This window comes from Homo sapiens, chromosome 8 (assembly GCF_000001405.40).
Source record: "Homo sapiens chromosome 8, GRCh38.p14 Primary Assembly".
Lineage (NCBI taxonomy): Eukaryota > Metazoa > Chordata > Mammalia > Primates > Hominidae > Homo > Homo sapiens.
The window spans coordinates 102,910,210-102,922,559 of record NC_000008.11 but is presented as its reverse complement, the minus strand read 5'-3'; the positions used below and the strand labels follow the sequence as shown (position 1 = coordinate 102,922,559).

General features: G+C 45.6%; 1 long non-coding RNA gene across 2 annotated transcripts in view, besides 1 other annotated feature; it reads right to left on the bottom strand.

Moving 5' to 3' along the window:
* MAILR (macrophage interferon regulatory lncRNA) overlaps positions 1-12,350 on the bottom strand; it is a 113,606-nt gene that overhangs the window by 55,317 nt on the left and 45,939 nt on the right. The window lies entirely within an intron of this gene.
* Positions 2,331-2,420: a silencer, noted in NCBI's record as "silent region_19450". NCBI's record gives its function as "represses an Ori minimal core promoter by ATAC-STARR-seq in GM12878 lymphoblastoid cells {active_cell/tissue: GM12878}" and the evidence as "EXISTENCE:reporter gene assay evidence [ECO:0000049][PMID:35858748]".

Here is a 12,350-nt window from a genome sequence, read left to right as displayed (position 1 = left end):
TGAGACTCTGTCTCAAAAAAAAAAAAAAGAAAGAAAAGAAAAAAAAATTAGTCATGGTGGTGTGCACCTATAGTCCCAGCTACTTGAGAGGCTGAGGTGGGAGTATTGCTTGAGCCCTGAAGGCGGAGGTTGCAGTGAGCCAATATCCCGCCACTGCACTCTAGCCTGGGGAACAGAGCGAGACCCTGTCTCAAAGTAAAATTTCTCCTTTAAGATAGTTTAGAATGAAATTTGGTGGACATACTGGATTACGAGTGTGCTTGCATAGTGGTGAGGCTATTGGTTTTAGAGTCTAACAGATGTACGTTTAAATTCTGGCTGTGAAACTTCCTGGCTGAGCGACAGACTCCTGAACCGCCCAGGTCACTGAACCGCCCAGCCTCACTCACGCACTGTCTGTGAAAAGGTTCAAGGGCCAGGACGTTTAGCAGGGCTGAACATGTGTATCTCGGTAACTGATACAAGGTAACCATATGGTTAGCAAGAGTCTGTCATCATCAGAACATAACTCAGTGTTTTTAAATGCCAATCACAAAACTGGCACTTTTTTGGATAATAATAAAAGTTATAAATAATAATTACTATTGAAAGCTCAGCCTCCACCCTTTCAAAGACATTTGAGAAATGGAAAACGTCACCCTGACCTCAGGGATCCAGCTGAAGTTGGTTTAAGAAATTGTTTCTAGGCTGGGTGCCGTGGCTCATGCTTGTAATCCCAGCTCTTTGGGAGGCTGAGACGGGTGGATCACTTGAGGTCAGGAGTTCAAGACCAGCCTGGCTAACATGGTGAAACCCCGTCTCTACTAAAAATACACAAATTAACTGGCCGTGGTGGTGCACGCCTGTAATCCCAGCTACTCAAGAGGCTGAGGCAGGAGAATCGCTTGAACCTGGGAGGTGGAGTTGGCAGTGAGCCGAGATCATGCCACTGCACTCCAGCCTGGGCAACAGAATGAGACCCTGTCAAAAAGAAGGGAAGGAGGGAAGGAGGGAGGGAGGGAGGAAGGAAGGAAGGAAAGAAGGAAGGAAGGAAGGAAGGAGGGAGGGAGGGAGGAAGGGAGGGAGGGAGGGAGGGAGGAAGGGAGGGAGGGAGGGAAGGGAGGGAGGGAGGGAGGGAGGAAGGGAGGGAGGGAGGGAAGGGAGGGAGGAAGGGAGGGAAGGAAAAGAAAGAAAGAAAAAAAGAAAGATCGTTTCTAGTTTGATGCATATATGTTATTAGGAGAGGGCAAAAGTCTGTCCTCTTCTGAACTTTCTGTGTTCCAAAACAGATTTATCTGCAGTCATACTTGGCCTTATCTCCCTGTGATGATTCATTTTAGATATAAACTTAACTGGGCCATAGGGCGACAAGATATTTGATCAAACATCATTCTGGGTGTGTTTGTGAGTATGTTTCTGGATGAAATCAACATTTGATAAAGCAGAGCAAAAATGCAGAGGAAAAAAAGGGAAAAAAAGAAAATAGTCTTGGAATTGGTAGACTGAGTACAGCCAATTGTCCTCCCTAATGTGGGTTGGCCTCATCCAATCAATTGAAGGCCTGCATGGAACTCCTCCTGCCTGTCTTCCAACTTGGATGCTGGATTTTTTTCCTGCCTTCGAACTCATTCTGAAACATCAACTCTTCTTAGGTCTCAAGCCTGCTAACATTGAGACTGGAGCTACATCATCAATTCTCCCGGGTCTCCAGCTTGCCAACTGCAGACCTTAGAACTTGTCAGCCTCTATAACCACTTGAGCCAATTCCTTATAATAAATCTCTCTCTCTGTCTCTCTCTCTCTCCATAAACACACACACACACACACACACACACACACACACACACACACACACACACTCCTATATTTTTTCTGGGGAACCCTGACTAATGCACTCCCTTTCTGCTGCCTCTGGATGGGGCTGTCTCCATCCAACCCTCGGGCATTGCCACCCCTTGTGCTTAAATGGTGGCTCTTAAGCCCTTTTTCCCCTCATTCTGGTTCATCTGGCTTGTCCCCAGCTGCTGCTGAAACTGCTATCTGAGAAGTCACCAGTGATTTTCTCGTTGTCAAATCCAGGGCTCAGCCTTATCCTCCTGGACCTTGCTCTGTCAGACATCACTCTCCGCATGTCTCCAGGCACCTTTCTTTGTGTCTATAAATGTGCTACAATCTCCAGTAGCCTTGAGTCACTCTCTAGCAATGGCTGCATTTCTGGAATCCCAGTTTCTTACTGGTCAGGAGTTTGGTTTCTGGAGCCTTAAGGTCTCAGTTCTGCCACTTCTACCTGCATGACCTTTGGCAAGTTGCTTAACCTTTCTGTGCCTCAGTTTCCTCATCTGTAAAATAAGGCTGTGGATAATGTCTACCTCTCAGGCTGTTGTGAGAAATGAATGCATTAGAGCCTTGTCATATAGAAAGTGGTTTGTAAATGTTAACTATCATCTGAGTGTAGGCTCACCTCCCTTTCACTCCTCAATATACCAGATCCTGTCTCAGGCCCTACCACTCCTGAGAAACCACTTCATCAAGGTCACCCATGACCTATTACTTGTTAGTATCTTCAGCCCTGTGTTTCTGCCCCTCTGTTGCACTTGATGTTCTCAATAACGTCCTCCTTTCCTCATTTACTGCCATTTCCTGCTGCACACATCACATCCTAGTTAAACTGCGTGAACACACATACCCCTGGGGTGTTTTCTCACCTCTAAGCCTTCGCTCTTGCTGAAACCGTACCCCTCCTATCACACAGAAGGCTCCTTCTCACTCTCACACAGGTAGTCCTTACCTCCAATATCCAACCCCGCTCATCCCCCTCACCCCACCTTCCCTGGTTAACTTCCACTTATCCTTTAAGCCTTTCCTCACGCGTTGCTTCCCCAGGAATCCCTTCCTATCCCACTCTCCCACGAAAGCTGGGTTAGGTGCCCCTTTCTGGTGCTCACATAGCACCCACGTACTTCCCACGCTGTACTTTATTTCTGTCTCTCCAAAACAACTGTAAGTGCCTTAAATTCAGAATCATTTCTCATTCTTTTTCAAGTTTCCAGCACTGACATGGTGCCAGACACATACTAGGGACTTAGTAAATGTTTATGGAATGAAGTAATCAATTAATAATATTAACACCCATTTACTTCCATGGAGTCTTAGAAGGACCCAGGGCAACTAGACTTGCAGGGAGTTAGGGGATTAGAAACAAATCAGAAGGAAGGGGGAAAAAACCTGCATAAAATTTTGCAATGTGTAGTAAGGAAGTTGGAGACTGGTAGTGTTTGGCAGGAGTATAGGAGGGCTTGCCATGCAGAGAAACTCTCAAAACAGAGAAGTAGTGCCCACTGGGAGGCCAACTTCACATTCCTCTAAGCTGTGCTTAGAGGTTCTCTCACAAAATTGCTAGCTAAATAGAAGGCAGAAGAAACGTGAAGAAAATGTATATCCACTCTCCCTCTTGCTTCTTTCCAAAAAAAGCACAGTTAAATCCATATGGCTCACAGTTGACATCCAAATGCATGTTAACTATGCATTTTTATGCTGGAAGAAATGAAAAAGAAAAAAATTGTTTTCAAAAACTTGGGAGAAATACAGAACATTCTCTGCCGATTGATACAGATTCCGTTGGGCATAACCAGGTTATTATCTCCTCGTGAACAACTCCCTTGCAAGCCAACAATTACATCATCAAGCACAGAACCCAAAGAATGTCTGGGTCTTTAGTACCTTTGTTATCATTGCTTTTGTATTTGACATTTGCTGTCATTGAGAGAGATTTACCATCCACCATTCCTAGAACCAATCATCACGTAACAGGTAAGAAGCATTGAGCATTAGTACTCACAAGTTTTAAAAAATTAAAATCTTCACCTTTTTTTTTAAACAGATAATACATTCACATGGCTCAAATTTCAAGAACTACAAAAGAGTGTACAAAAAAACTTTTCCTCTACTCTGCCCTTTCAGAGGTCTTCTGGTTATATAAAAAGACACATGGGCTGGCGCGGTGGCTCACACCTGTAATCCCAGCACTTTGGGCAGCCAAGGTGGGCGGATCACAAGGTCAGGAGTTCGAGACCAGCCTGGCCAAGATGGTGAAACCCCGTCTCTACTAAAAAATACAAAAATTAGCTGGGTGTGGTGGCGGGGTGCCTGTAATCCTAGCTACTCGGGAGGCTGAGGCAGGAGAATTGCTGGAACCTGGGAGGTGGAGGTTGCAGTGAGCCGAGATTGCGTCATTGCACTCCAGCCTGGGCGGACAATAGCAAGACTCCATCTCAGACAAAACAAAACAAAACAAAACAAAAGACACATGCATACAGGTATATATTTTTTTTCCACAACCTGCTTTCTGTTATATCCTGCTATACATACAATCCTGCACCTTGCATTTTTCATGTAACAATCAATTTGGGAAAGTGTTCCACATCAGTATATACAGGAAGTTTTTCATTTTATTTGTTGCATTGTATAAATAGACCATGATTTATTTAACCTTTCTCTACTCATGGATATTTAGGTTGCTTCCAATATTTTGTTAAGCAAACAGTGCTGAAATAAATAACCTGAAGCTACCTTATTTTGCATATGTGCCAGGATATCTGTGGCATAAATTCCTGGAAGTGGACTGACTGGGCCAAAGGACATGTTTATTTGTAATTTTCTTAGCAGTTGCCAAAGTTCTCTCCGTGGAGCAGGTTGTACCAATTTACCCTCCCACCAGCTTCCCTGTGTTCCACCAACAGTGTCAGCCAACTTCTAGGCTCTGCCAATTTGGAAGATGAAGAATGACATTTTTATGCACTTCTAGCTTGTGTTTCTCTTATTATTGTGTATAGCTGTGCCTTCCCCACCCCCCGCCCCCCGAGATAAGGTCTGGCTCTATCACCCAGGCCAGAGTGCAGTGGCATGATCTTGGCTCATTGTAACCTCCGCCTCCCAGGCCCAAGCCATCCTCTCACCTCACCTCAGCCTTCCAAGTAGCTGGGACTACAGGTGCATACCACTATGCCTGGCTAATTTTTGTGCTTTTTGTAGAGATGGGATTTCACTATCTCGCCCAGCTGGTCTCGGACTTCTGAGCTCGAGCAATTCACCTGCCTCCACGGTCTCAAAAAAGGCTAGGATCACAGGCGTTAGCCACCGCACCCAGCCTTTTTTTCGTTTTTTGTTTTTTTGAGCCCTCGGTGCTAGTCACCCTTCTCTCTCTCTCATTATAAAATAATAACAATAATAGCTGACACTCAGGCGGTGGCTTGCCATTGCCAGATACGTTGTAGGTGTCTCATTTAGCCTGTCAACGGTCCTGTGTTGTAGGTACTGTTCTCACCCCTGGTGTACAAATGAGGACATTAAGACTTACTGTGTTTAAGTGATTTGCCCAAGGTTTCACAGCAATAAGTGGCAGAGCCAGGACTTAAACCCAGGCTTCTATGACCATAAAGACAATTTTCTTAAAAATTAGGCAACTTTGGCCAGGCGCAATGGCTCACACCTGTAATCCCTTTGGGAGGCTGCGGTGGGTGGATCACTTGAGATCAGGAGTTCAAGACAAGCTTGGCCGACATAGTGAAACCTTGCCTCTACTAAAAATACAAAAATTAGCCAGGCATGGTGGCAAGCGCCAGTAATCCCAGCTACTCAGGAGGCTGAGGCAGGAGAATTATTTGAACCTGGGAGGCAGAGGTTGTAGTGAGCCGAGATTGCACCACTGCCCTCCAGCTTGGGCGACAGAGTGAAACTCCATCTCAAAAAAAAAAAAAAAAAATAGGCAACTTTGCCTACCACTCAACAACAACAAAAATAGAGGCCCTCAGGTATCATTCACGGATTTTCTCCCTAAAGTTCTAAGAAAGTAGCCCACTAGTGTCCTTTTGCACTCCTGCCATCTTTTCAGGGTAATGTCTTCTCACGTTCCTGCCTCCTTTTGAGATGTGCTGTAAGGGGACTACACTAATATGTGGACCCCGGCCTCCGAGATGAGACTGACACTGGCTGGAGGCTTCCAGAAATGCAGCCACATGAGAGGAGTGAGTAACCATTTGAGCAAACACTAGTTCATGAATTATTATTTCTTTTCTTTTTTTTTTTTTGAGGGTCTTGCTCTGTCACCCAGGCTGGAGTGCAATGGCACGATCTCGGCTCACTGCAACCTCCGCCTCCTGGGTTCAAGCAATTCTCATGTCTCAGCCTCCTGAGTAGCTGGGATTACAGGCACGCCCCACCACGCCCAGCTAATTTTTTTGTATTTTTAGTAGAGATGGGGTTTTGCCATGTTGCCCAGGCTGGTCTCAAACTCCTGAACTCGGGCAATCCATCCTCCTCAGCCTCTGAAAGTGCTAGGATTACAGGCATGAGCCACTGCGCCCAGCCTGAATTATTATTTCTTAATAGCAACTTCAGGCCTACAAGTAAGGAAGAAGTGAAGTTCATTCATTCAACAAATATTTAGGGAGCATCTATGTGCTAGGCACTGTTCAGGCACTTGGACACAGCAATGAACAAGATAAATCAGGTCTCATAAAACGTACATTAATGGCCAGGTGTGGTGGCTCACGCACATGATCCCAGCACTTTAGGAGGCCGACATGAACAGATTGCTTGAGGCCAGGAGTTCAAGACCAGCCTGGGCAACATGGCAAAACCTCGTCTCTATCAAAAAAAATTACAAAAATTAGCCAGGCGTGGCAGTGTGCACCTGTGGTCCCAGCTACTCAGGAGGGTAAGGTGGGAGGATCAGAGAAGCTGAGGCTGCTATGAGCCATCATCACGCACTGCACTTCAGCCTGAGCGACAGAGTGAGACACTGTCTCAAAAAAAGAAAAAAAAAAAAAAACTTAAGACCAAAAATGTTGCATTAGATAATAAATAAGAAAATTTGTAAAAATTGATAGTAGTAAGTGCTATACAGGTTAAAACTGCATATTTTGTAAAAAGGAGCTGCTTTGGATTTGTTCATTGGCATAAGGCCCCTCTAAAGGGGGTGCCAGTTACACTGAGCAGAAAATGACATGAGGGAACCAGCAACTGAAGTTCAAGGGAAGAGCATTTTAGGCAGAGGGAACAGCCAGTGCAGAAGTCCCAAGTCAGGAACAAGCTGATGCACTGTGGGAGAAAGCCCGTTGAGCTGAAGCCCAGAGGAAGGGGGAAGGGAGGTTTTGGCAGACGCTGGAGTGGTAGGTGTAGTCAGATCTCACCTCAGGACTCTATGGGTCAGGAAAGAGAACTTGGATTGTGTTATGTCCAATGGAGGCCATGGGAGATCTTAAACTGGGGGATAGAGGGCGTACGTGTGATATAATCTGATACTGTTTTTAAAAACAATCACTCTGGCTGTAGGGGGAGAGCAGATTCTAGTGGGTAAGTGAGTAAGGGGAGCAGTTGGAGGCTATTGCAGTGGCTTGGACTGGAGATTATGAGGGCACTACCAGAGTAGTGCTTCTCAAACCTGGGCAGGCATCAGAATTCTCTGAAGGGTGCCATCCCCAGAGTGTCTGATTCTGGACGGAAAGGACCTCAACATTTTACATTGCTAACAAGTTCCCTGGTGACGCTGATGTGGCTGGTCTGTAAACCCCACTTTGAGTAACATTGGACCAGACTGGAGATGCAAGAAGTGGACTGATTTCAAATCATTTTGGAGGTAGAGTCAATAGGATTTACTGACAGATTGCATTTGCAAGGGAGAAGAATCTGACCTTGAGTTTCCAGTTCAGCAACTGAGGGAACAAATGCCAGTATATACTGAGAGTGGAAAACCAGAAGAAGGTGCAGATTGAGGGGGGGAAGATATCAAGAGTTCTGTTTTGGGCATGTTAAATTTGAGATCCCTGTGAGAAATCCAAATGGAAATTTCAGTCACACAGTGGGGGGTGCTGGTATTGGAGCAGGAGGTCAGGACATCTCAGTGTAGAGATGAAATTTAAAGTGATGGACTAGACACAATGGCCTTCTGAGAGCGTGTACCTGGGGAAGAGAAGGAGCATGGGACAGAATCCTGGCATTCCACATCTAGAGGTCAGAAACAGGAGGGGAGACAGTGGACAAGAAGACAACCTGGAGAAGAATGTCACTAATGCTCAGAGGAGAAAGACTTTCAGGAAGAGGGGATGTCCAGCAATGTATAATAACTGGAAGCAAGGTCAATACAAGAGAGCCAGGGAGCAGAGGAGAGAACCCTCTGAGAAGGGGAAGAAAGAATGAGTAAGAATAACTGAAGACCTTTTGAGAATCCACAAATCTTTGTAGCTGCAGCTGGATTCTTCATGCATTGTGATTAGCCATAAACTAGAAACAGAAAGAGGCCCCATGCTTTTCTTCTGGGACAGTGAAAGAGATGGAAACCTCAGCTATCCCATCTCACTCTCCAGCCAGCCTCAAGTCCTGGGGTGGAGGCAGCATTCAAGGGGAGCACAAAATAGATTGAGTCCTGGGAAGTGGGAGAATATAGGCAGGAGGCTGTCACGGGAATCAGAAATGACCCTGGGTGGCTTCTCGGACAGGCCTGCATCATTCTGGAAACTTCTTCACTTTAGCCTCCAAGAAACAAGCATCCCTAGTCCCATCCAAGAGCAATTCCTCACCCAGTGTTTGTGAGCCCCGGGCCGCCTGCCGCAGCGGAGCCCTGGCTCCACTGCCCGTCTCCTCCCTCTTCTGTATTTTTCATGGCTTCCTCTAGCCTGGCTCCTTCCCCTCAGACTACAATAATGCCACTCCAGTCTAAAATAAAGCTCTGTCCTCCACCCTTCCTTCCCTGTGCTACTGCTTTCATTGCTTTTTCCCCAAACTTCCTATGTCAATGCTTGTGCTTCCTCACTTTCTTTTTCATCTGCAGCCACTGGAATTTGGCTTCCATCCCTGCCACTGTCTCAAAAGCCACAGCCCTCTCCTAATCATCAAGTGAGGGGCCTGCTCCTGTTGGCCTTCACCTCTGGCCATCTCTCTACTGCATTTCACACACTGGCCACCCACTCCTTCTGGAAACTCTTGCCTCCTTCTCTCACGCCCTCACCATCCCACACAAAGGCTTTCCTCCCCAGTCCCCCGGGGTCCGTGGTCCATGATTCCCCATGTTCATCACCCTCTTGGCTCTCCTCGACTCTCTCCTGGTGATCTCATCCACACTCTTTCACGATCACCCAGTTATGAATTGGTGACTTCCAATTGCTCTGGTATTTTCAGGTGCCTATGTGCCATGTCCATGTTCCACAGGCATGTTAAAGATGCCCAAAACAAAATCTCGATCCACAGTTTGCACTTAATATGTGTATTTTATTTTATTTATTTATTTTTATTTTTATTTTTATTTTTTGAGATGGGGTCTTGCTCCTGTCGCCCAGGCTGGAGTGCAGTGGCACGATCTCAGCTCACTGCAGCCTCCACCTCCCAGGTTCCAGCAATTCTCCTGCCTCAGCCTCCTGGGTAGCTGGGATTACAGGCATGCACCACCACACCAGGCTAATTTTTGTATTTTTAGTAGAGACGGCGTTTCATCGTGTTGGTCAGGCTGGTCCCAAACTCCTGACCTCAGGTGATCTGCCCACCTCAGCCTCCCAAAGTGCTGGGATTTCAGGTGTGAGCCACCATGCCTGGCCAATACATGTATTTTAAGTATATGTTTGTTGAATGAATTATTTTCTTCTTGCCCACTCCTCCTTTTTACATAGTGAAGAAAAAGTAGTAAACAATAAACAAAACACAAATACCTCCTCCCCTTTTGGACCACCTCACACCGTTTTCCCTCACTGCATGTAATTGGGTGCTTGGTCTGATTGATTCCATCTCCAAAGTGTTCTGAATCTTTCCTCTCCTTTATTCTTCTTTCCATTCGTCTTCTGCTCTTCTCCTCTCTCTGGCTGTCTAACATTGGAGACAGCCAAATGGTTCTTAAAACTGGCTATACATTGGAATTCCCTGGAAGATGTAAAAAATCCTGATGCTCTGCCTGACCCCGACCAACTGAATCAGAATATCTAAGAGTGACGCTGGGTGCACCAGGGTTTCTAAGAATCACTACAGGTAATTATAATGTACAGTCAGATTTGAGAACCAGCCAGGTGCGGTGGCTCACGCCTGTAATCCCAGCACTTTGGGAGTCCGAGGCAGGCGGATTGCCTGAAGTCAGGAGTTCAAGACCAGCCTGGCCAACATGATGAAACCCCGTCTCTACTAAAAATACAAAAATTAGCTGGCCATGGTGGTGGGCGCCTGTAGTCCCAGCTACTTAGGAGGCTGAGGCAGGAGAATCACTTGAACCCAGGAAGGGGAGGTTGCAGTGAGCTGAGATCACACCACTGCACTCCAGCCTGGGCAACAAGTGTGAAACTCCATCTCAAAAAAAAAAAAATTTGAGAACCAAAGTTGGTGTCCTTCTCCAATACCCAGTATTTCTCCCCACAAAAATAAAAAATAAAACCTGATATTAGCACTCTCCTGCTTTAAAATTTCACATAAAGACGAATGCATTGGCTTACCCCTGTAATCCCCACACTTTGGGAGGCCAAGGAAGGCAGATCACCTGAGGTCAGGAGTTCAAGACCAGCCTGGCCAATATAGTGAAACCCTGTCTCTATGAAAAATACAAAAATTAGCCGGGCGTGGTGGTGGGTGCCTGTAATCCCAGCTACTCAGGAGGCTGAGGCAGTAGAATTGCTTGAGCCCTGGAGGTGGAGGTTGCAGTGAGTTGAGATCACACCACTGCACTCCAGCCTGGACAACAGAGCAAGACTCTGTCTCAAAAAAAAAAAAAAAAAAAAGAAAGAAAAAAAGAAAAAGAAAGCTTCAGGTCAGGCGTGGTGGCTCACACCTGTAATCCCAGAACTTTGGGAGGCCGAGGTGGGCAGATCACCTGAGGTCAGGAGTTCAAGACCAGCCTGGCCAACGTGGCGAAATCCCGTCTCTACTAAAAATACAAAAATTAGCTGGGTATGATGGTGGGTTCCTGTAATCCCAGCTACTCAGGAGGCTGAGGCAGGAGAATCGCTTGAACCTGGGAGACGGAGGTTACAGTGAGCCAAGATCACGCCACTGCACTCTAGCCTGGGCAACAGAGTGAGACTCTAAAAAAGAGAGGAAGAAAGATAGAAAGAGAGAGAGAGAGAGAAAGAAAGAAAGCGAGAAAGAAAGAAAGAAAGAAAGAAAGAAAACTTCAGATGAGAGCGCAGAGTTTTAGGACAGTGAAACTACTCTGTATGATACTATAATGATGGGTATGTGTCATTATGGATTTGTCTAAACCCATAGAATATATAACACCAAGGACAAACCCTAAGGTAAACCATGGACTTGGGGTTATTATGATGCATCAATGTGGGTTCATCAGTTGTAACAAGTGTACCACTCTGGTAAGGGATGTTGATATCATCAGGGAAGTTATACATGAATAGGGGTGGGGAATATAAGGTAAATCTCTGTATCTTCTTAATTTTGCTGTGAACCTAAATCTGCTCTAAAAAAAAATAAAGTTAAAAAAATTTTGAGAAGACACAGCAGGACTCTTATCTTGGACTCCAGTTTCAGGAGATAATGTGAATCCCCTTAAATAATATACAAAATACTGTATATGAGGAGAGGACTCATTCATTCTCAAAGGAACCTGATTCAAAAAAGATTAGGAAATATTACTGGATAGTAGTTAATAGTCAACACTTACTGTGTGCTAGGCACTGTGCCAAGCACTTTATATACACCAGCTTATAAAGTGCTTATCAAAACTAACCCAGAAGGTTGAGTATAACCCCTATTTTACAGATGATGATTAAGCAACTCCCCCAAGTCAGCAAGTTCTTGGAATTTGGATTCACACCTAACTAGATCTGCTCTTTACTGCCTCCGTGGTTTGTGGGACTAATTCAAGCCTTTTGGCACAGCAAACAAGGCTCTCCACCATCTGCTAATCGAATGCATCCTTCCTTCCCCTCTCATTCTCTGAAGAAATCATGTAGTCCATGCCTCTGCCCCCTTATATGCTGCACCCATTCCCTGGAATGTCCTCCCTTCACTTCACTGCCAGACAGAATCCTATCAGCACAAACATCCTCTGCAGCTCTCTGAAACCTTCTCTCCTCTCCCTCATTTTCCCAGAAGACATTGATTATGGCACTTTTAGCATCTGATGATAGTGGTGTTCATGTCTCTCTCCTGAGAGACGGAGTTGAGAAAAGCAGCTGTGTCTTGTTCATCTGTTCATCTGCAGCTCTCCAACATCTTGCAGTGCCCACTGGCCCATAGGTGGGGCTCAATGGACATTTGTTGAAAATAATATAATTTAAGTGTGCATTCTACTTATCAGAGAGTACCTAGGTTCTAAACTGGGGAAAATAGACCTTTGTCTTATGAGAATGACGTTTAATATGTTCTTATGTTGCCAGGATATCCCT